This window comes from Homo sapiens, chromosome 2 (genome assembly GCF_000001405.40).
Source record: "Homo sapiens chromosome 2, GRCh38.p14 Primary Assembly".
Lineage (NCBI taxonomy): Eukaryota > Metazoa > Chordata > Mammalia > Primates > Hominidae > Homo > Homo sapiens.
Genome location: NC_000002.12, coordinates 38521221 through 38545186, shown reverse-complemented (window position 1 = coordinate 38545186; position 23966 = coordinate 38521221). Strand labels below are relative to the sequence as shown.

At 45.2% G+C, this 23966-nt stretch overlaps 6 annotated features.

Annotated features, from left to right (window-relative positions):
• Positions 3566-3860: a silencer, noted in NCBI's record as "tiled region #10245; K562 Repressive non-DNase unmatched - State 19:H4K20". NCBI's record gives its function as "represses a minimal TATA promoter and a strong SV40 promoter by Sharpr-MPRA in K562 cells {active_cell/tissue: K562}" and the evidence as "EXISTENCE:reporter gene assay evidence [ECO:0000049][PMID:27701403]".
• Positions 3566-3860: an enhancer, noted in NCBI's record as "tiled region #10245; HepG2 Activating DNase matched - State 5:Enh". NCBI's record gives its function as "activates a minimal TATA promoter and a strong SV40 promoter by Sharpr-MPRA in HepG2 cells {active_cell/tissue: HepG2}" and the evidence as "EXISTENCE:reporter gene assay evidence [ECO:0000049][PMID:27701403]".
• Positions 8614-9224: an enhancer, noted in NCBI's record as "H3K4me1 hESC enhancer chr2:38763105-38763715 (GRCh37/hg19 assembly coordinates)". NCBI's record gives its function as "activates a minimal SCP1, AML or CMV promoter by ChIP-STARR-seq in naive H9 embryonic stem cells {active_cell/tissue: H9 hESC(naive)}" and the evidence as "EXISTENCE:reporter gene assay evidence [ECO:0000049][PMID:30033119]".
• Positions 8971-9030: a silencer, noted in NCBI's record as "silent region_11375". NCBI's record gives its function as "represses an Ori minimal core promoter by ATAC-STARR-seq in GM12878 lymphoblastoid cells {active_cell/tissue: GM12878}" and the evidence as "EXISTENCE:reporter gene assay evidence [ECO:0000049][PMID:35858748]".
• Positions 11466-11595: an enhancer, noted in NCBI's record as "active region_15608". NCBI's record gives its function as "activates an Ori minimal core promoter by ATAC-STARR-seq in GM12878 lymphoblastoid cells {active_cell/tissue: GM12878}" and the evidence as "EXISTENCE:reporter gene assay evidence [ECO:0000049][PMID:35858748]".
• Positions 16906-17015: a silencer, noted in NCBI's record as "silent region_11374". NCBI's record gives its function as "represses an Ori minimal core promoter by ATAC-STARR-seq in GM12878 lymphoblastoid cells {active_cell/tissue: GM12878}" and the evidence as "EXISTENCE:reporter gene assay evidence [ECO:0000049][PMID:35858748]".

Genomic DNA, 23966 nt, shown 5'->3' with positions numbered 1-23966 from the left:
GGCAAAACCCCATCTCTACTAAACATACAAAAATTAGCCGGGTGTGGTGGTGCATGCCTGTAATCCCAGCTACTCGAGAGGCTGTGGTTGCAGTGAGCTGAGATTGCACCACTGCACTCTAGCCATGGAGACAGACTGAGACTCTCTCAACAACAACAACAACAACAACAAAAAAGAAACATTTAACTTGCCTTTCCAATAGGAACTGCTTTTCATGGTAACTAAATGGTCCCAGATAATGAAGAAAAATCTCTTTTCTACTGAAGAAGGTCTGCTAATCATGTAGAAGATTGATAGAACTAGTGAACTGACATTTTGCAACACCCTGAACTCAGGCAACAAGTATCAAATTGTTGAAAGCGTTAGGTTGATGGGAAATTGAATATTTATATAGAGCCAAAGTGATACCATACAGATTTTTACCCAGTTGCAAGGAAAAGAATGTAACTGTGTCCTGTCATTGCATCAAAAAGTCACTCCATTCAGTGGTTGATCTCAGTGTCACTAATTGTGGGTCAACAAGATAGTACATGTTCCTGATGTGATATAAGATGAAATAAACAACATTACTTGTGATGTATAGCCAAACTTGGCTCAAACTTGATAAGAATAAAAATTTTAATCTAATTTTCAGTTGATAAGAAATACAGAAAACAAGGGACCAAACTAACACCATAAAGAAGTGTCCAGAAAAATCCAAAACATGGCCCAGCCTATAATACATCTGGCCTAGTCTATTAACAAGTCAGTGTGAGATAAAGAGAGAGAGAGAGAGAGAGAAGTGGGGATGTGGGGTGGGGAGGAAGAGATAGAGAAACTTAACTAGTTTAGAAGAGAAACTATTATAACGCAATGCGTAGACTGATTAAACCAGATGTAGAGAATGTTTTAAAGATGACTGAGAACATCTGAATATAGACTGGTATGAGAAAAGATAAAAGTTTATATGGAAAAGTAGAAATCATTGCATAAAAATTTCAGGTTATAAAATAGCATGTACAGTATGGTTTATTTTGGTACAAAAAATATAGAAATATATACATGCAAGTTGGTTGTCTAAACTGGAACACTTATGGGGGTAAAGCAAGGCACTATTGATATGCCAGGATAACAGGTATAAACTTATCTTCCAGGCAAGCTGGGAGGAATGCTCATCCTTCAAGCAGCTCTTCTGAAACTTCAGTGTGAAGGGGAATTGCTTGGGAGTTGGGGTATGGTGGGTCATGTTAAATGAGGATTCCCAGGCTCTATTCTCAGAGATTCTGATTCAATAGATCTGGGGGTGGGCCCAAGAATCTGCCTTTTTTGTAAGTACTCAGGTGATTCTGCTGCTGGGACTGGTGAGGGAATGGAGCCTGGCCAACAGCACTTTCTGTAGGCATCATCACTAAGTAGGGATTGGCTAATCCTTGTGGATTTGTTTCACGGAATTTTCCTTTTCTTTTTTTTTTTTTTTCTTGAGGTAACTGCTTAGAAATCCATCTGTTGCCTATTAAAGAAGACTGGAGGCTGTACGCAGTGGCTCACGCCTGTAATCCCAGCACTTTGGGAGGCCGAGGCGGGTGGATCACCTGAGGTCAGGAATTCGAGACCAGCCTGACCAACATGCAGAAACCCCGTCTCTACTAAAAAAATAAAATAAAATTAGCCAGGCGTGGTGGCAGATGCCTGTAATCCCAGCTACTTGGGAGGCTGAGGCAGGAGAATTGCTTCAACCTGGGAGGCAGAGGTTGTGGTGAGCCGAGATTGCGCCACTGCACTCCAGCCTGGGCAACGAGTGAAACTCCGTCTCAAAAAAAAAAAAAAAAAAAGAAAAAAGAAAAAAGACTGGAAAGTATAGTGGTATAAATCAAAAAGTATCAGAGACAGATCTCAATCAACTTAGCAGTTTATTTTGCCAAGGTTAAGGACATGGCCGGAAGAAAGGAACACAGATACCACAGAAACAGCATGTGGTCGGGGCTTTTCTTCAAAGATCACTTTGAAGCCTTCAGTATTTAAAGGGGAAAAGCAGGCTGGAAGAGAAAGAGGGAGGATGTGGTCACATGACTGAATCCACATGTTGCAAGAGAAAAGGAGCAAGTAGGAGAACAGACAATTATGTAGTCGTCTCCCACTCAGTAAATCAGCACTGATCACTGATAAGGTGAACATAGAGTAGCTGACTGTGGAGACATCCGGCCTTTTATCTGTAGCTGTCTGCTTAGGAACAAAGAGAAAGGCAATTTCTGGCCATGACTCAGCTTTCAGCTTAATGTTTTCCTTTTGGCATCATGAAACGGGGTCCTGAGATTTTATTTTCTTTCACGGTGGTTAAATAAATGGCCTTTAGAGTTTGATAGAGTTGGGTCTGATTATCAACTTTAGCACTGTGTGCTGTATGACATTGTCTCTTCACATCACTAAGTCTATTTTCTTGTAGGTGAAATATGAATATTGACAAAGTTGGTATGAGGATTAAGTGAGATAATGCATTTAAAGCACATAGTCTCAACAAACAATAGTTATGACTGTTATTATGATCATTGTTACTATTCTTGAACGGGCAGTGAATACATTGTGCTAACCCTGGACCTGCCAGATAGGTGTCTTCTGCCTTTCAGATTCAGGATGTCTCCCGTAAAGCAAAACAAAAACCTATCCTGACCTTCTTGGATGATTCATAAACACTTGGTGAACAGTTTTTACTACACATTTGTTCCCTGATAGCCCCTTAGAAGTCTGTGGAACTGGCTGGGCGTGGTGGCTCATGCATGTAATCTCAGCACTTTGAGAGGCAGAGGTGGGCGGATAACTTGAGGTCAGGAGTTTGAGACCAGCCTGACCAACATGGTGAAACCCCGTCTCAACTAAAAATACAAAAATTAGCCAGGCATTGTGGTGGGGGTCTGTAATCTCAGCTACTTGGGAGGCTGAGACAGGAGAATTGCTTGAACCCATGAGGCGGAGGTTGCAGTGAGTCGAGATCGCGCCACTGCACTCCAGCCTGGGTGACAGAGTGAGACTCTGTCTCAAAAAAACAAAAAACAAAAAACAAAAAGAAAACTGTGGAATAGTTGCCTGAGTCTTTGGGTGTGAGATACTTATGCAGCACAGCAGCTTCAATACTGTGCTCTGAAATCTCGGGTCTAGTTACTATGGAATGGAAAGCTGAGGACAGGGAGTAGAAGGAGATTCTTCAGTAGTTTTTTGAACTCAACTTGTCCATTCCAGCTAAACTTTATTTCTTATGCAACATAAGTCTATGAAGGCAAGATTTTTCTTGGCAGCATAATTACTGCTACCTAATAAGGGAAGAGAATTTCCTTCTAAAGATTCCTGCTGTTTTCTCAGCAGGTGGGAACTTTTGCACTCTGCAGCTGCTGGGTGCCATTACTGTCCGTCCTGGGCTTGCTCTTTCCATTCTGAGATGGGAATGGAAAAATCCACAGGGAACAATTGGTAATTCCATCCTGATTTGTATGCATTTTGGGGTGTTGGTTTTGTTTTGTTTTGTTTTGCTTGCTTTTTTTTTGTTTTTCTTTGGTACTTCTATTCTGTAACCTTGTCACTTATATTTTTTGAAAAGTCAAGATGCATCGTTTGATACATAATTAAATATTTGAAAACAGGGACTGTCCCGGAACTCTTGGACTTTGGGCTACTGTGTGCATAACCTCGTGGAGGGTTCTGAGCAGCTCTGTCCATCTACATGTGAAGGATCAAAGGGTGCCCCAGGTGTGTCCCTACTGACTCCATATAAGGCCCAGGGGAAGTTGTGCCCTGAAGATAAAGGAAATTAAGCTTCAGCACCCTTCAGTTGTCAGGGACTAGACCTTTCTAAGACACCAGGCAGAGGACCTAGCAATGTGTGCATATGTTTCTTTTATAAATGGCAAAAATAAGACATTTTTCTATTGTTTTCCATTAAAGATGGTCTCAAAAACTTTGTAAGTTTAGGCCCCACAAATCTGTGTCCACCCTTGACAGGCTTCCTCTGGCTATGCCTGAAGGATTTTCCCTTTATATAACTAGATAGTCAGCAGCCTCAACTCCAAGCCAGGGCACACTGGCATGCCAGGGATGGTGTGGGAATGCAAGTAAAGAGGGGCATTCACAACTCTGTTGGCTGCTGGATGCAGAGAAAACCACAAGCTGGATAAAGAGCAGCCTCTGGGGAAAAACAAGCTGTAGACCTGAGGTCCAGCAGCAAGAGTTCCTTCTTCAAACAGGTGGTTAGCAAGTGGCACCCATCAGCTACCTGTTAAGTCTTTGAGAAAAATTAACGACCTACTTTATAATTTATACAAACAAAAATACTGTCGCCTATGTGCTGCGCCCCAGCCATTCCCCAGCCCTGGTGCGGCTGTGTCCTGTAGTGGAGACAGCCCTGGATAGGTTCCAGCCTTGGCTCCTCTGCTAGGTAGCTAAGTTATGAATGCTTAGCTTTGTTCATCTTTAAAATGAGTGTGTTGTATTAGGCAGTCTCACTCTGAAACTTAAATCATTTTATGGTATGGGGGTAGAGTTTATATGATTTCTGTAGAGATACAAGAGTAGTGCTGTGGGAAAGTATGACGCACCTGTTGGGAAGGAGGTTGACATATGGAGAAAAATCAGACCATATGGGATTATGAAATTTAAAAAATTATCTCCTCCTGCTCAGTAAACGTGCCAAATATAAGCCTATCATCCTAAGAACTGTCTTCCTTTTAACAAATGAGAAGAAATTATGTGCATTTCCAAAATTAAAGGGATATTCACGTCATGTTAAATGTGTGACATATGTAGGCAACGACGAAGTTCTGAGAAGTAAGTTTGTGTTTACGGTATGGCCTTTGTTATTTAGGAGATTACAATTAAAACAGGACTAGCCCAGATGAAACAATTAACAAAGCTGATGAGCTATAACCAAAACCCATGATTAGTGATGGGTTCATTGAATACATTCTAGTACATCTGTTCTATGGAATACCATGCAATCAATCATCAAGTAGAATGAACCACATTTATATGTATTGACTTGGGAAGGTGTAGAAGACATATTAAGTAAACATAAACAAGTGGTAAATTATAATGAAAAATATGACCATGTTTTTGTTAAAAGCATAAATGAGACCTCAACAGGTGATTCAGTGCTTGTGTAAGCGTAGAAAAAATATGGAATGATATATACACCAGCATGCTAATACTGGTTACTTTAAGAGAGTATAATTGGACAGGGGAGGAGAAAAAATATATACATTATATATATATTATATATGATAATATATTATAAAATATGTGTCAATATTATATATGAGATATATTTTTATATATTTTTATTATATATAATATATTAGCTTTCTATAATTAAGTTTATTTAAATTGTTATGAGTGTGTATTATAATTTTTTTTTTTTTTTTTTTGCCCAGGCTGGAGTGCAGTGGTGCGATTTTGGCTCACTGCAGCCTTGAACTCCTGGGCTCAAGCAATCCTCCTGCCTCAGCCTCCCTAGTAGTTCGGACTACAGGCATGAGCCACCATATCTGGCTTGTGTATTGTAATTTTTAAGAGTGCTTTTGTAAAATAAAAAAAGCATAACCTTTGTTTTCTCAGCCTCCCCAGTCTGTGGTTGTATGCTGGATCACATTATGGTTATAACCTATGTCTCCTCTGCGGTATGCTCAGGTTCCCTGTAAAACTCATCCAGTGATTTCAAGGCCTTTTCGCCCACCCTGTTTTTCCTCCTTGGCTCACCTGCTGCTGGAGAAGCCCTGGGAGGGAGTGGCCTCCCATGACACTCAGGCACGTAACCCCCCTGAAGGGGGTGCGGTTTGTGCTTGGGGCTCTGCCAGAGTACAAAATGGCATCATGTTCCCTAGACTCCCAAAGTCCCCTCAGTGTCCTAGTTCTTCAGGAAGGGGCAATGCCTTTCATCCCCCTCACCTGTCACACTTTAATGGGTGGTTACAAAATTGGAGCTGCTTGGGCTCCTCATGCATGTCAGCTCCTCTAGGCTGGTCCCATCTCTCCAGAAGTGCCTGGGTCCCTTCACGCAAGCTCAGCCTCTAGGGGGCATGTCCACGTACATTAGTGCTAATTGTGTGGTAGAGGCAGAAATTCAGTGAAGGGAAAGACGGGGCTTTTTTAGAAGACTTGGGGTTTACACAGGACCATGGGGAGGTATGGAGATGGGGTACATCAAATGTGGAAACCTTAACACCAGCAACATCAAGAAGGGGGAAGGCAACAGTAAAAACATGGAAGGCCAGGTGCGGTGGCTCACACCTGTAATCCCAGCACTTTGGGAGGTCGAGGCGGGTGGATCATGAGGTCAAGAGATCGAGACCATCCTGGCCAAAATGGTGAAACCCCGCCTCTACTAAAAATACAAAAATTAGCTGGGCATGGTAGCGTGCACCTGTAGTCCCAGCTACTCAGGAGGCTGAGGCAGGAGAATCGCTTGAACCCGGGGGGTGGAGGTTGCAGTGAGCTGAGATCGTGCCACTGCACTCCAGCCTGGGCAATAGAGTGAGACTCTGTCTCAAAACCCCCCCAAAAATCATACAGTTGAATAAGAACAACTATTTCCCTGGTTTCTGTCTTTCTCCTGTCTCAAAGGCCTCTTAATGTATTATTAGGCAGGGATGTGTGTGTATTAGTATCTTAAGTAAATAATTTAACATGTTAACAACATTCCTTGAGGAAATAAATGTGCTTAAATTTTTAGTATGCATGGGACTTGGCACTGGTGTAAAGACACTTTGAGTAGACAGTGGTTCACCTGCAGTATTGGCCATATATCCTAGAGCCTTCAAGTGTCTGGAGAAGTGATTTCCTTCTTAAAATGGATAGATCCTCCTCTGAGTGCAGGAATCTGACTAATTACAAGAATCTCCTTCCCTGGAGTGATCATTCAACCTGGGATGTGTCACTGCAGATAAAAGAACACCCCGTAGATTCTCACTAGAAGAGAACCAGTGGCTGAGCGTAATGTTCCCTTCCTCAGGGAGAACATATTTCTTCAGAAGGGGAAATGCTTTTCAGGCAAATAAATCACTGCTCCAAATTTTTCATAACTGATTCAATATACAGTTCCAACTTCTGTGTCAAATGCTGGTTTGGAAAAGATTTCCAGTGTCATGGGAAATCTATGGACTGAAGAATATAACATTGTGCATGAAGGAAGTATCAAACATTGAGCTTTAAAAAATACTTCATAATCGTCAAGTATTTACAAATGAAATTATAGGTAATCTCAGATTTGCTTTAACATAGCCTAGCTGAGTGGAAGAGGGGTCCTGGGGTATAGATAAAACGGAATTGACAATGTGTTAATTATTGAAACTGCGTGATGTGCCCATGTGGGTTTATTATACTGTTTTCTCAACTTTTGTAAATGTTTGAAAATTTCCATATAAAAAGTTAACAGGCCGGGAGCGGTGGCTAACGCCTGTAATCCCAGCACTTTGGCAGGCTGAGGCAGGTGGATCATCTGAGGTCTGGAGTTCAAGACCAGCCTGGCCAACATAGTGAAACCCTGTCTCTACTAAAAATACAAAAAATTAGCTGGGCATGGTGGCAGGCACCTGTAATCCCAGCCACTCGGGAGGCTGAGGCAGGAGAATCGCTTGAACCCGGGAGACTGCAGCCTCGGCAACAAGAGTGAAACTCCATCTCAAAAAAAAAAGGCCGGGTGCTGTGGCTCACACCTGTAATCCCAGCACTTTGAGTGGCCTAGGCGGGTGGATCACAAGGTCAGGAGTTCAAGACCGGCCTGGCCAACGCGGTGAAACCCCATCTCTACTAAAAATACAGAAATTAGCTGGGCATGGTGGCGGGCGCCTGTAATCCCAGCTAGTTGGAAGGCTGAGGCAGGAGAATTGCTTGAAACCAGAACACGGAGTTTGCAGTGAGCCGAGATCATGCCACTGTCCTCCAGCCCGGGGGAAAGAGAGATACTCCATCTCAAAAATAAATTAAAAAAAAAAAAAAAGGTTAAACCCCAATAGTGTCTTTCTTTTGAGTGAAAATGTTTTTAAAAATTAATAATTCATAGAACTTGCATAACGAATAAATATATAAATGCATAAAATATAGCTAACACTGGTGCTTACTATGTACTAGGCATATATGTTATATATGTACATAATTTTGTATATTATACATGCATATGATTATATGCATACATACATTTATATGCACTTACATTAAATATGTAAAACACACACGTATAAATATATATGGTGTATCAACTCATTTAATTCCTGTCAACAATTCATGACGTGAGTTCTAAGTAAATTATTTGCATGTGCAGATGAGGTAATGGGGTTATATACGGGGTTAAATAACGCACCCAAGGTCATTAAACAGGATTTGAACTCAGCAATTTTGGCTCCAGAACTCATGCTCCCCGCTGCCTGTATCCATGCGGGTCTGTATTGTCGCCAACAACTTTCCCCACCACAGTTTAACTTTTTTTTTTTTTTTTTTTTTTTTTGAGACGGAGTCTTGCTCTGTTGCCCAGGCCGGAGTGGAGCGGTGTGATCTCGGCTCACTGCAACCTCCGCTCCCAGGTTCAAGCGATTCTCCTGCCTCGGCCTCTTGAGTAGCTGGGATTACAGGTGCACGCCACCAAGCCCGGCTAATTTTTGTATTTTTTGTAGAGACGGGGTTTCAGACGCGCCCAGCCCACAGTTTAATTTTTATTTTTGAATTGATTTGGGAGTGGGGGGTGGGGTGGAAACTTTTTTTTTTTTAACTGTCCGGCAATTTTGCTGAAGCTACCTGTCCAGGTTGGCCCCGGGGCGTGCCTCTTGGCACCGAACTGGGGCGCCTGAGCCTCGGCAGTGCGGGCGGTGGGTCGGCTCGGGTGACCGGTTACCCCCGGTCTTGGGTCCTTTGCACCGCGGCGATCCGACCGCCTCAGAGCGGCGCGCAGGTAGCCGTGTGGCGCCACCTGGTGGCCGGAGCCCCAGACTCGATCCACAGCAGCGCGCGCCCGGGCCTTCGCGGTGGGAACGCAACCCTGGCTAACAGAACTGCGACCGCTCCGCGCACTCCCGGGGCGTGGTTGAGGACAAAGCCAAAGCCCAGGGTGGCGGGGAGGAGGTGGGCGGCCACAACCCCAAGGGAGATGGGCCTTGGACCTTAGCCTGGAGGATCTTCTCCGCTAAGGAGGGAGACCCAGGAGGCTCGCTCGCGGTCCGCGCAGCCCAGGCCTGCCACCCTGACCGCGCCTCCTCGGAGCCCGCAGCTCCACCTTTGATCAAGTGGGAATTAACTTGAGAAAGGGGTGCTGCCTAAGGACTTTTAAAACGAACTCTTTAACATTTCCAAGTACTTACCCTTCATGTATGTGTGTACATAATCTATGTCTATTTCTTTATATCATCACTTATTTCCAGAAAGGGTATGAAAGCTGGAATGACGTCATATAATGCCATTTTTTTTTCCCTCACGACAGCCCTCTTACGCTTGTGAAGAACGCATGTGCTGACCCCCAGAGCCTGGTCCTGCCGAGCTGCTCCCTGGTGCTGGGGAAAGGTGGCACAACTGTAGAGACAGAAGAGTATTTTGGGGGCCTGGCAGGGGGCAGAGTGTTCACGGTGGTCCAGAAGGTGCAGCCGCATCAGGGCAGGAGGCTGGGAACCGCTTTCTCTCGCCCATAAACCTGCCAAGGAGATCTGGAAGGCCTGCGGAACGTCCTACCTGTACCAGGTGGGCCGGCGGGACTGCATTTGCTACCGGACCAAGAAGGCAAATCTCCCTGGTAGGTGCTCCCTTTCCTAGTGTCTGCACAGCTGCAAGCTAAGGAAGCTCTTCGCTGGGTCCTGCAGCATACAGGCCGCGGGTGAGGTGCAGTCGCCTCCTGTCACAGGCAGCAGGGCTTCCGTGCCACAGAGGGAGGGCAGCCCCTCCAAGGCAGGGCCTCACCCCTCATCCAGACCTGTCTGAACATTCTGCAACGAACGCCCAAGTCCATGGATGCTTCCCTGGCCAAGGCCTGGACCGGCCTCTCTTGGACTTTATGAGTACTGTGTTATTGTGCGTATGGGCACGCCTCCCCATAAAGGGTGAGGTCATCCACTGAGGAAGAAGAACATTTCTCAAAATTGCGCCTGAGATCTGAGCAGGGAAACTTGAGCAGGACTGAATCTCTAGGCAGCTACTACAGTGTTTCCCTCTGTGGGCATTTGATAGATATTTGGTGCTTGCTTCTCTTCTGCTCCCACATAAAACCTCAAGATTCCATCCTCCAAGGAGTCGGTTCCGCCTGTCACTTCACTCCAAGCTCAGCTTCAGAGATAAGGCTTCAGAAGAGAAATGCGTCTTCCCACATATGGCTCTGTTTTGAACTTAAAAACAGATTTGATGTGAGTACCTGCATACCATGGTGATAGGTGCCATAGAAATCAGAGGAAAGGCCGGGCACAGTGGCTCATGCCTGTAATCCCAGCACTTTGGGAAGCCGAGGTGGGCGGATCAGTTGAGACCAGCAGTTCAAGACCAGCCTGGTCAACCTGGTGAAACCCTGTCTCTACTAAAAATACAAAAACTAGCCGGGCATGGTGGCAGGCGTCTGTAATCCCAGCTACTCGGGAGGCTGAGGCAGGAGAATTGCTTGAATTCGGGAGGCGGAGGTTGCAGTGAGCCAATATCACACCACTGCACTCCAGCCTAGGTGACAGAGTGAGACTTCGTCTAAAAAAAACAAAAGAAAAAAAAAGAGGTAAAGCAGGGAGGTGGGACAGAGGAATGGTGGACCTAGAACATCAGGGGTTGGTTTGGAAGCAGCGTTTTGGTGACACTGATGCTTATTTTAAGCTGGCAGTGTTATTGATCATGTCCTCCCTGCACAGCCAGCCTCCCCCCTGGGAACACAAATGCTTTCTGCTTCCCTATGCACTATACTCTGGGGTCTTGAGAGGAGTGGAAACTGCATTCATCATGTAAGATACACATCAATGTCACTACTTTATTGTTGTTGCTGTTGTTGTTGAGACAGAGTCTCACTCTGTCACCCAGGAGTGCAGGAGTGCAGTGTTGTGATCTTGGCTCACTACAACCTCCACCTCCTGGGCTCAAACAATCCTCAAGCCTCGACCTCCCAAGTAGCTGGGACTACAGGCACGCAGCACCATGCCTGGTTAATTTTTGTGCTTTTAGTAGAGATGGGGTTTCACCATGTTGGCCAGGCTGGTCTCTAATTCTTGGTCTTAAGCGATCCACTGGCCTCAGCCTTCTAAAGTGCTGGGATTACAGGCATGAGTCACCACGCCCGGCTGACACTTTTCAACGTATTCATGCACATTACCTCCCTCATTTAATCCTATGCTAGGGCAGCTAGTATCACCCCTGCATTTCTGATGAATTTGAGGTTCAGAGACTGACTTGTCCAAAATCACAGAGCACGTGAGTGGCCACAGCTAACCTGAAGCCCCCTGTTCCCCTGACTCGGCTTCCTCATGTTGTGTAGCCGTGGAATTTTCAGGGTGCTGGACAGGCCTTCAGTGTATTTTGGGCAGTGTCATTCAGGATAGAAGGAGCTGTGTGGAGTGATTCAAATGCTCAGAGAAGCTGGTGCTTCTGCATGAAGACTGCAAGAAAATGGGATTGGCTGCAGAAGAATTTTGCTAATTTTATGTCTTGAGATACACGGACTCTACTTTCAAGATTGGCAGTCATTCCAAACAGCTCCTGGCCAGCATCAGTGAACTTCAGTACTCTCAGCTTCACTGGCCTGTGCAAATGCAAATACAGGTCCTGAGAATGGCTGCACAGCTGCCTACACCCTCCTCAAAGCATCACGGGACAGACAGCTCAGACCAAGCCAAAGGCAACGTGAAACACTGGGCATGCTTTCACTTCCTTTCTCCACTCTCCTGCACGCATGTCTGTCGTAGCTAACTGGTACGCCTGCGTGCCACGAAACTCCTTGTGTCTGAGCCTTCGCCTCTGCCTTCCCTCTCTCTCACCTGACCATTCATCTTCACTTTGCCAAATCTGACCTAGCCTTTGAGGCCCAGTTCAAATGTTCCCTCTCCAAAAAGGTTTTCTCTGATTCCCTGTCGCTGAAAGTTGAAAGTGATCTCTCCCTCCTCTGACACCACTAGCTTGAAAGAGGGTCTAAAGGTGAGAACGAAAGGTCTCTCCATTCCGAGAGACACCAGTAAGCCCCCAAAAGCTGGAGCCTGCCAAGCTCCCCTTGCCTTATAGGGGGAGTCCGAACTGGTTCCATGATTCCCCATTCAAGCTCTGAGGGTTGACAAAGGAGAGGGTGAGGTGGACTGGTCTTGGGGAGAGGGGTTATTCACTCTCTTTCTTGAAGCCAAGGAATGGGGTGGGGACCTAAGAGAATCATAAGGAAAACTAGAGGTGTTTGTAAGGAGAGTTGTGCTCCCAGATGGTTGTTTGCTTGGCCTTCGGGCTTGTCAATCTGCCCTAGGGCTGTGGAGAAGAGGATGGGAGGGAGATAGTGGGGAAGGGATATACTGCCTGGCAGAGAGGGCCCAGAACTGCTGCCTTGAGTTCTCAGCTCCTGAGGGCGTGCAGGATGGATCCATGCAAACTTGCTGTGCTGAGAGGAGACACTTGCCCTTTGCCTCTCTCTCTTCCTGCACCAGCACACACTGGAGGGCTGGCTCTACAGAGGGGAGAAGATGATGGGTAAAGAGATCAAGCCTAAGCTAGAGTCACAGACAGACCCAGTCTGCATGGGTAGACAGGGAGTTGATGAGACTTGAAGCTTCAGGATGCAAAGGACTGAGTCTTAAATCGGAAATAATCAAAGGTGGCTAGAAAGCTATGGAAGGTGGCAAAGATGTGATTAAGAAACCCTCTATTTGAGAAAAAAAAAAAGGATGGTCAGTCTGGATTAGTTGGGGGCAATTACATTAGGAGAAAAATCATGTTTTATCCCCAAGTAGTTGAGATTATTCAATCAACTATTTAGAATTTTTTTTTTTTTTTTTTTAGATGGAGTCTTGCTCTGTCACCCAGGCTGGGATACAGTGGCATGATCTCAGCTCACTGCAACCTCTGCCTCCCAAGTTCAAGTGATTTTCCTGCCTTAGCCTTCTGAGTAGCTGGGACTACAGGCACCTGCCACCATGCCCAGCTAATTTTTGTATTTTTAGTAGAGATGAGGTTTCACCATGTTGGCCAAGCTGGTCTCGAACTCCTGACCTCAGATGATCCACCCACCTTGGCCTCCCAAAGTGCTGGGATTACAGGCGGGAGCGACCGTGCCCAGCTAGAATTATTTTTGCATCTCCTTTTCTCTTAAAAAAAATTGTGCTAAAAACACATAACACAGCCTGGGCGAGGTGGCTCACGCCTGTCATCCCAACACTTTGGGAGGCTGAGGCAGGCAGATCACTTGAGGTAAGGAGTTTGAGACCAGCCTGGCCAACATGGTGAAACCCCATCTCTACTAGAAATACAAAAATTAGCCAGGTGTGGTGGCATGTGCCTGTAATCCCAGCTACTCGGGAGGCTGAGGCACGATAATTGCTTGAACCCGGGAGGCAGAGGTTGCAGTGAGCTGAGATTGCGCTACTGCACCCTAGCCTGGGCATCTAAAAAACAACAATGACAACAAAAAACAAAACACATAACATAAAATTTACAGTCTCAAACATTTCTTCTTTTTTTTTTTTTTTTGATATAGTCTCACTCTGTCACCCAGGCTGGAGTGCAGTGGTGTGATCTCGGCTCATTGCAACCTCCGCTTCCTGAGTTCAAGTGATTCTCATGTCTCAGCCTCCTGAGTAGCTGGGATTACAGGCATGCGCCACCACACCCAGCTAATTTTTTTTTTTTTTTTGAACTTTGGTAGACATGGGGTTTCACCATATTGACCAGGCTGGTTTCGTACTCCTGGCCTCAAGTGATCTGCCTGCCTCGGCCTCCCAAAGTGCTGGGATTACAGATGTGAGCTACCACGCCTGGTCAGAATTTCCTTCTTTTTAAAGGCTGAATAATATTCCATTGTATGTGTACACCACATTTTGTTTAATCATCTGCTGATGGACACTGAGGTTGCTTCTACCTCTTGGCTATTGTGAATACTGCACTATAAACATGGGTGTGCAAATATCTCTTTGAGATCCTGCTTTCAATTTTTTTGAGTATATACCTGTAAGTGGAATTGATAATTCTATTTTTAATTATTGGAGGAAACTCCACACTGTTTTCCATTGTGGTTGCACCATTTACATTCCCACCAAGAGTGCACAAGGGTTCTTATTTCTCCACATTCTCACCAACACTTGTGATTTACTGTTTCTTTTGGTTTTTATTTTTTATTTTTTGGATAATAGCCATCCTAGTGAGTATAAGGTGATAACTCATTGTGGTTTTGATTTGCATTTCCCTAATGATTAGTGACGTTGAGCATCTTTTCCTGTGCGTGTTGGCCACTTGTATATCTTCTTTGGAGAAATGTCTATTCAAGTCATTTGCCCGTTTTTTCACTGAGTTATTTGTGTTTCTTTGTTGTTGAGTTGTAGAAATTCTTTATATATTCTGGATATTAGCCCCTGATCAGGTTTATGATTTGTGAATATTTTCTCCTGTTCCTTAGGTTGCCTTTTCACTCTGTTGATTATGTTCTTTGATGAGGCTCCTCTCTTTTATCATTCTGAAGTTTTGTTGGGGCGAGATTGTATTTCAGGGGGCTTCTCAGTAAAGGCTTGTGGAATGAGGCAAGGAACATACAGTGAAGATGATTAGGCAAGCATCTTTTTGAGGAGGTGGAACTTAAGTTACTGGACAAGGTGGACCCCAAGTACAAACTCAGAGTAGGGCTGGGTGTGTTGGGTCATGCCTGTAATTCCAGAACTTTGAGGGGCTGAGGCGGGTGGATCACTTGAGCCCAGAGGTTCAAGACCAGCCTGGACAACATAGTGAAACCCCATTTCTACAAAGAATACAAAAATTAGCAGGGCATGGGGGCATGTGTCTTGTAGTCCCAGCTACTCAGGGGTGCTGAGGTGAGAGGATCGCTTGAGCCAGGGAGGTTAAGGTTGCAGTGAGTCGTGTCCCAGCCACTGCACTCCAGCCTAGGGAACAGAGTGAGACCTTGTCTCCCAAAAGCAAAAGGCCAGGCGTGGTGGCTCATGCCTTTAATCCCAGCACTTTGGGAGGCTGAGGCGGGCTGATACTTGAGTTCAGGAGTTCAAGACCAGCCTGGACAACATGGTGAAACCCCGTCTCTACTAAAAATACAAAAATTAGCTGGGCCTGGTGGCATGTGCCTGTAATCCCAGCTACTCAAGAGGGTGAGGCAGGAGAATCACTTGAAGCCTGGAGGCGGAGATTGTGCCTCCGCACGAGATTGTGCCACTGCACTCCAGCCTGGGCGACAGAGCGAGATTCTGTCTCAAAAAAAAAAAAAAAAAAAGAAAGAAAGAAAGAAATGCAGACTAGGAGTTTGCCTGTGGCTCCCTCTTCGCTCCTGCCGCCTCCTCTGACGGTTCCTCTCTCTGCAAGCACTAGGTCCTTTAAGCGGGTCTGTCACATACAGGCTGTCCCCTGGCCCCCAGTTCTGTTCACTTTGACAAGTGGATCTGAAGCGCTGTGGAGCTGGGTGCAGTGCTGGGGATTACCAGGGAGAGTGAAACAGAGCCCTACCCTCAACGTGCGTTCCTCTGCAGGGGAGAGGAGAACTATGGGAATTTCATTTACTTTACTGTGATGAATGTGCCCTCCAGGAGTAGCTACCCACCGTGGAAAAAAGGCAAAGAAGGACTCCTGATCTGGACCAAGGGAGGAGTGAGGCTTCCCGGGGGAGGCCATCGTGAGGTCACTTGGCACCAAGCCTGGTCGGCCCTCAGGGCGGCCTGTGCTCCTCCACTCCGTAGGCCCCAGTTTGCACCCCCGGAGTCGCTAGAAGAGGGAGCATCACTGTAGATTGTGTCGTCTTTCCCCCATTGGCATGTTTACGTGGTACACTAGTTTAAGGTGTAAAAGTAGGCCGAGGCAGGAGGATCGCTTGAGGCCAGGAGTTCAAGAACAGCCTGGGCAACATGTGAGACCCCCGTATTTACCACCCCCCCCAAAAAAAATTTGCTGGGTGTGACAGTGCACACCAGTAGTCTTAGCTATTCAGGAGGCGGGAGGATCGCTTGATCCCAGGAGTTTGAGGCTGTGGTGAGCCGTGATCACACCACTGCACACCAGCCTGGGCGACAGAGCAAGACTCTGTCTTTTAAAAAAGAAAAACGAAAAAGAAAGGGGCAAAAAACTAAAAGGAGCAATATACATGACTGGTCAATTTTTTCTAAAAATTAAATGCTAAAAAATCAGATTTATTATGTTCAATAATATTGTGCTTCATATGTGCCAGTCACTGTTCTAAGCACTTTACATGTCTTTAACTTAATTATTCCCCACAACAGCTCTATGAGATAGGTTTTCTTTCTACCCATTTTCCTTTTGTCGATAGAAAAACTGAGGCACAGGGAGGCTAAGTAACGGGCCCAAGGCCAGAGAGTAGGAAGTGAGAGAGCTGGAATTGGAACTCGGGAGCCTGTGCTCTTGGCCTCTGATGGTGTGATTTTTCATGCCAAGAAAGTTTTCCTGCTTCAATCAACTTGATCCAACAGAATATTTGTTATAAGTTCGTTGCCTTTAAGACTGTCATTTCTTTTTTTTTTTTTCCCGAAAATCATTTTAATATAGTCCATTTAATACCAATGCTCTCCTAAAATGTAAACTGTGAGAAAGAACAATCATTCAGTTGGGAAATGGAGTCTTCAATGATTCATCCTTCAATATGATTTCTTTAATACTGTCGATTTTATGTCCACCTGATTTCAGCCATTTTTTGTACTGTTCCTCAGCGTGCAGTAGAGAATCTGCTTTTAAAGCATCTTTCCGATATGATTCACCACTTCATGGTACAGATGGAGGCGAATTTGGAGACTGTCATTAGGATTTCCATCCGCCCAGCGCCATCTTTCGCCCAATCACAGCGGCGGCGGCCGGCGGGGGAGGAGGGGAGCCGGCTGCCAGCTCGCACCGCAGCCCGCGGGCGGACCCCAAGCCACCGCGGACCCATGCGCGGAGCCTGCTGGGCCGCCGCTGCCGTCGTCCTAAGGCTGTCATTTTTTACTTGCCCCTTCTGAAAATTCACTGTTGACTTAGGTATTCCACGTAGAACTTAGAGCCCTGGGACATCTAGAGCATTAGTCACCACTGAGCTTCTGTTGCTGATTCCTGGGAATCTCACTTAAAGGCACAATTTTTAAAAAACAACAACAAACAACTCAAAATAAAATTAGAAATAAATAAATATACCATAGACAAAAGGGGGAAAAAAATCTCATAACAGGAAAAAAAAAAACCCATAACCACACTACTCAATTAAATAAACCGTAATATAAATTAATCAGAACCATAATAATACAATGAACTATAATGAAATTAAATAAAATCACACTCAAAATTAACACTTCCTTAATATCAGTTGATATCACCGTTCAATTTTCTTTGATTATTTCAAAATTCTCTTTTCACCCTTGCGTTTGGTCACAGGTCTCTTAAGTCTTTTCTAATCCATAAAAGAATGTTTCCCTTTCAATTTTTGTACATTTTATTTGTTGAAGAAACTGGGCCATTTGTCCGGTAGAATAACTAGGAAGACTGACAAATATGGTTTCAGATTTCTCTGTGGTTCTCTTTGCCCCTAGGCTGTATCCTCCTGGAGAGATGTTCAGTCAAAGTACTGCGTTTTAAAGTCACTTAAAATAATTCTTCTCCCTGTGATTACAAAATCAACTTGCTATACTATAACCATCATTTGGCTGAGTTTGTTTTTGATTGAAGGGGGTTGCCTTTTCTAAGTTTAATTTTGTTTTTCAATACTCTAACATATTTACATGCTGAAAGTAAAAATTATAAAAGAAATATAAGCAAAGAATTTAGCCTCCCTGTCTGCCCCTTCCCCACTCAGCTGTCACAGCTGTCATTCTCTTTCTCATCTTAGAGATAATATTTTCTAATTAACTTTTTTGTTTTTGAGATGGAGTCTCGGTCTGTTGCCCAGGCTGCAGTGCAATGGCACAATCTTGGCTCACTGCAACCTCTGCCTCCTGGGTTCAAGCAATTCTTCTGCCTCAGCCTTCCCAGTAGCTGGGACTGCAGGTGCCTGCCACCATGCCTGGCTAATTTTTGTATTTTTAGTACAGATGCGGTTTCATCATATTGGCCCTAGTGGTCTCAAACTCCTGACCTTGTGATCTGCCTGCCTTGGCCTCCCAAAGTGCTGGGATTACAGGCGTGAGCCACCATGAGTGGCTTTTTTTTTTTTTTTTTTTTTTTTGAGACAGAGTCTTGTTCTGTTGCCCAGGCTGGAGTGCAGTGGCGCCATCTCAGCTCACTGCAACCTCCTCCTCCTGGGTTCAAGTGATTCTCCTGCCTCAGCCTCCTGAGTAGCTGGGACTACAGGTGCCTGCCACCATGCCTGTCTAATTTTTGTATTTTTAGTAGAGATGGGGTTTCGCCTTGTTGGCCAGGCTGGTCTCAAACACCTGACCTTAGGTGATCTGCCTGCCTCAGCCTCCCAAAGTGCTGGGATTACAGGCATGAGCCACCGCGCCAGGCCCCTCCTCCCTTTCTAACAAAAAAAGCTAGCATACTGTATTTACTCTTCTGACCTTGTATTTCTTACTTACCACTATACTCTGGAGGCCATCTATCCTCCTTCCTTTTATTGCTGCACAGCAATTCACTGTGTGCATACTCCTTAATGAATTCAACCAGTGGCCTACTGATGGACATTTGGGTTGTTTTCAGTTTTTGCTATTATAAATAGCGCTGCAATGAATAACTGGAGCATATGCCACTTCACATTTCTGGTATTTATGTTTGCAATAGACTCCTAGAACTGCGGTTGCTGGATCAAAGGGAAAGAGCACATGTAATTTTGCCAGATATTACAAAATCCTTCTCCACAGAGATTGTATGATTTTGAATTCCCATCAGCAACAGGGGACAAGTTTCCCCAAAGCCTCACCAATAAACTATATTGTCCAACTTTTGGACTTTTGCCTATCTGAAAGATAAGAAATGGTACCATAGTATACAGTATTTTAAGTTTGCAATTCTGTTATTAGGAAAATAATAGTAAACATATTTTCATTAGTTTCATTTGCTTTACTTTTTCTGTGAAATGTCTGTTCATATTTTGCCCATTTTTCTATCAGGTTATTAGGATTTTTCTTCTGAGAAGTTCTTTAATTGTTAAGGATATTGACAATTCATTAACCTTAACTGTTAACTAACCTTAACTGTCTGTGATACAATTTGCAATTCTTTCTCCCAGGTTTCATTTGCCTTTTGATTTTACTTGGATATTTTACTTAGAATGTTTTTATAATGCTACAGAACCAAATTTGTTAATATTTTATTACTTTTATGAGTTAGGGATTTTATGAGTTATAATTAGAAAAGATTTTGTCTTTTCTACATTTAAAGTATTCCACTCTTTTTTTTTTGGATTATTTGTATGATTTCATTTTTACATTTAGATTTTGATCCATTTGGTGCTTAATCCAAAAGCTTTTACCCTGGTGCCTAATGTGAGGAATGGATCTAATTTGATGTTTTCCACGTGGCTATCAAATTGTATGATATGTGTGAATGATAATCTCAATGAGGCTGTTTACACACACACACACACACACACACATATGCACGCAGAAGGATATATCCTAGCATGCACAGGTTGACTCTGGATGGTGGCATTATGAATGCTTTCCGTTTTCTGTTTTATTTTTTTCCTCTCTATGAACAGATAGACCCTGTGAAGGCTGGGACATTTGTGTCTGAGAGGATATAATGTAGGCCCACTAAAAAATTTTTTTAAAGAAGTTTGTCCATAATTCATACTCAGGCAGCCCGGTAATCAGAATGTCTGCTGTGCTCACTGGACTGAGTGTGCTCTGTGCTGGGGGAAATATTTAAAAAAGCGAAATCATCTGTACAGAGATACAGCTAAAAAGTCAAGGCACCTAATGGTTAGGAGAATTGAGGTCTCAGAGAAGGCCAAATGAGCAGTATAGACAGGTGAAAAATTCACAGGAAAGAGAGATCTTCATGGGCTGGGTAGCCTGGGAGGCTTCAGGGAGGAAGTGTCTTCCAGTTAGTCCTTGAAGAATGAAAAGGATTTAGACGCTTGGGGAAAACAGAGATGGCTGAATGCAAAGACAGCGTTGTAGGGGAGGTGAATAGGAACACCTGAGGGTGTCTGGGACACTGGGTAGGCAAGGTGGTCAAAGAGGATATCCCCTGAGCAACTGACACTGTTCACCCAGACTGGGGAGCAAAGCTCTCTGCTCCTAGGAAGTGAGATTGCCCGCAGTTGCTGGGGGCAGGGAGCCTCTCAGAGGAGCCAATTACACACAGAGCCCCTCCCCAGGGAGCTCATTTCTGGTGGTGAACTGCTTGCAGATGGGGACACCTGTGGATGCTGAAGTCCACGAGACTATCAGGGTTTAGATTTGCTTTTGCTCCTAATCATTCCACTCTTGGCTGGCACCCATGATCTGAGGACCCCTGACTCTGTGGCAGGACACACCAGCCCTCCACAGATGGGAACATACAGCTGCCTCCCTCCTGGCAGGGCCCACGGGGTGCAAACCCCTAGGGTTGGATGGACTTCTGCTGAGAAGGTCTGGGCTGGATGTGACGGCTCACACCTGTTAATCCCAGCACTTTGGAGGCCGACTATGGTGGATCATGTGGGGTCAGGAATTTTAGACCAGCCATGGCCAATATAGTGAAACCCTGTCTCTACTAAAAATACAAAAATTAGCCGGGTGTGGTGGTGTGTGCCTGTAGTCCCAGCTACTCTGGAGGCTGAGGCAGGAGAATTGCTTGAACCTGGGAGGCGGAGGTTGCAGTGAGCTGAGATTGCACCACTGCACTCCAGCCTGGGCAATAGAGCGAGACTGTCTCAAAAAAAAAAAAAAAAGTCTCCTGGGTACAAATATTTGGCTTTCTCCTCCTCCAAGCAGTCTGAATAAGCAACAACATTTATCTTGGGCGAGGAAGGGTGTCCCGGGGAAGGGGCAGACAAGTCTAACAGCCAAAAACAGCCATCTGACACCTGGTGTAAACTACAGCTTCATTCCTTTGAGTAAGAAAGTTTAAAAAAAGGCCCCACATTTTCAGTTAGTCTTTTGGATTGTGTGTGTGTGTTTGGTGGGGTTGGGGGGCTTTAGCAGCTCTCCCTGTCCTGTGACTCCCCAGAACCACGTGCGGGCCCCACATCCATGCGTTTTCCTCCGGGCTGCCCCTAGATGGCGGAGGGCCCTCCTTCACTTTGCATTCTTCCACTTCAGGGCAGGGTCATGCTCCCGAATCATCCCCTAAAGGGAGTTCTTTAACTTCCTGAGACAATCCATTTTTGTTTTGAACAATCCCCACTTGCATCTAACCTAAAGCTCTCATGCTGCAGAAATAGAGAATACCTGAATATCACCTTTTCCTCCTGAATTACAGATCCTATTGCTGTTCCCCTTTAGAGGGCTACATGGTGGGATGGACGGAGCATGGGCTCTGAGTCAAATGGATCCCTGGCTCTGTCACTATCTGCTGGATGACCTCGGGCAAGTGACTTAGTTCTGAGCCTATTTCTGCACCTTCACATGGTTGTAGTGAGGATAAAACAACACAGGCAAAGAGCCTGGCTCATGGGCAGAAGGCTACAAAAATCAGTTTCTTTGATATGTTCAAAAGCCTTTCTTGGCGTAACCTTCAGCCTTCTGGGTTTGAGCACCCTAACGTTACCCATCCTGCTTCCCAACACTTTCATCAGTCCCCCCAATTTGAGGACATCACTGTCCAGGAAGGCCCTGAGCTCACTGTGAAGCCTCTTTTGAGCCTGCACAATGGAAATATTCCTTTCCAGGTGAGGTTTCTATACCAAGAGCTGGCTGCTATGCCCAAGGAGGCTGCCCCAGGGAGAGAGAATCCCCTAGATGCTGCCTGCAGAACAGGGTCAGACAGATGCGACTGTGTTTACGGTCTTGTCCTCAGTTACCTGACACCAGTCTCCATGGGAATTAGCACGAGGCATCTCGAATTTCAGGGTACATATTTCTCTCTGAGCTTGAGCTGTTGATCTTCCCCTCCATGGACCTGCACCACATCCTCCCAGAAATAAGTGACCCAGTCTCCTTGTGCAATGACCTACACAGAAAGCATGCCTTCCTGGGTACGGGAAGAGAACTGGGACAGTGCATAAGGGAGGAGAGGCTCTTGTGAATTAAACAGGGCACACGGGGCTGGTCAGGAGCCAAGTCATTAATGACTCTGCTGATTTCCCTTTGGAGCAGTCAGGACCTGTTTTGCTCTCACTTTTGCATCTTGTAACCCCTCTGATAATCGAGATGGCGGTACCTGAAAGCAGGTGCCCTGATACCGCCCGTAACCTTATGTCAGTATTTCCCTCCCTGTTTTGTCCTTGGACAGCCACCTAAGACCCCAAATCTTTTTTTTTTTTTTTTTGAAACAGAGTTTCACTTTGGTGGTGGTGCGATCTTGGTTGACTGCAACCTCTGCCTCCCAAGCTCAAGTGATTCTCCTGCCTCAGCCTCCCAAGTAGCTAGGGTTACAGGCATGAGCCACCACACCCAGCTAATTTTTGTGTTTTTAGTAGAGACAGGGTTTCAACATGTTGGCCAGGCTGGTTTCAAACTCCTGACATCAGGTGATCAGCCCACCTCGGCCTCCCAGAGTGCTGGGATTACAGGCGTGAGCCACCACGCCCAGCCCTAAGACCCAAATCTTCAAGCTGCTTCCCCGGTCTCATTTTCTTCTTGAGGCTGATTTTAGCCATGGTTCTCCCGTGGTGCTTTGCTTCTCACTGTCTCAGCACCAAAGTGTTGACAACTAATTTAATTAATGCTTCCAAGTTCAATGAGAGAAGGCCAGAAGGTACTCTGGGTTCCCTGTTTAGTTCCCTATGTAGATCTAGACACAGCGTCACTAACTTTGTGACTCTGATGCTGGAAATTTCTCTCAAAACAGGAGATGGTTTTGGAACAATGGGTCATTCAAGTGCCCTCATATTATACTGGATGCCAAAGTTCTCTATAAATTAAAAACAAAATTAGAAACGACCACCACACTCACAAACGATAAACTGAACACCATGCACTGGTGATGAGGACCAGTACTGTAATCAAGTATGATGTCATAGATTATCTGATGCCTATTTAGTGATATTTTATGCTTCCTTTTAGCCTCCATTATAATTAGCTGTTGAGGGAGAATATCTTTCAATTTGGCTTTTTAATGATAATCTATAGCTTTTGAAAACTCCTAGTTTCTTTCTCCAAAATGTAGAGTAAGTGGTCTTCAACGTATGGTCCTGGAACCAACAGCATAAGCATCACCTGGGAGGTTGGTAGAAAGGCAAATTTTCAGGCCCCACCCCAGACCTGCTGAATTAGAAACCCTGGACATGGAGCCCAGCAGTCTGTGTAAGAATCAACCCTCCAGGTGGTTGTGATGTATGCTCAAGTTTGAGAACCACTGGTGTAGATAATTCACCAATTACCAGTCAATAAACCCGCGTTAGCTCTAAGCGCTGGCCTGCCCCCTTTTTAAAGGGTGTCTCAGGGAAAATTAAATTCTTGTCAATCTCAGCTTTTTCCAATCAATTTGCCTTGTTTTCGCCTGGAGTATCAAGTTATGGTGGGAAAGAGGCAACCAGATTTAGGAAGGGCAAGAGATGCAGAGCGAACCCTTAGAAGGAACCTGTTTGGCTCCGCAGCAAAGAGATGGTGCACCTGGGATTAAGCCCTGCTGAGTTTAAACTGAGCCAGAGGGAGGCATAGGCAGCCATGAGAGCTGCTGGGCCCGCCACCCCAGGAACAGGCTCCTTTCCTGCTCCACCTCTCCTCATTCACCAATGGAATGAGCCGAAGCATATAAACTCTTTTATTGGTGTGTAGTCTGGCTTTGAAGTACATCAGAAGGCCTGGGCACGG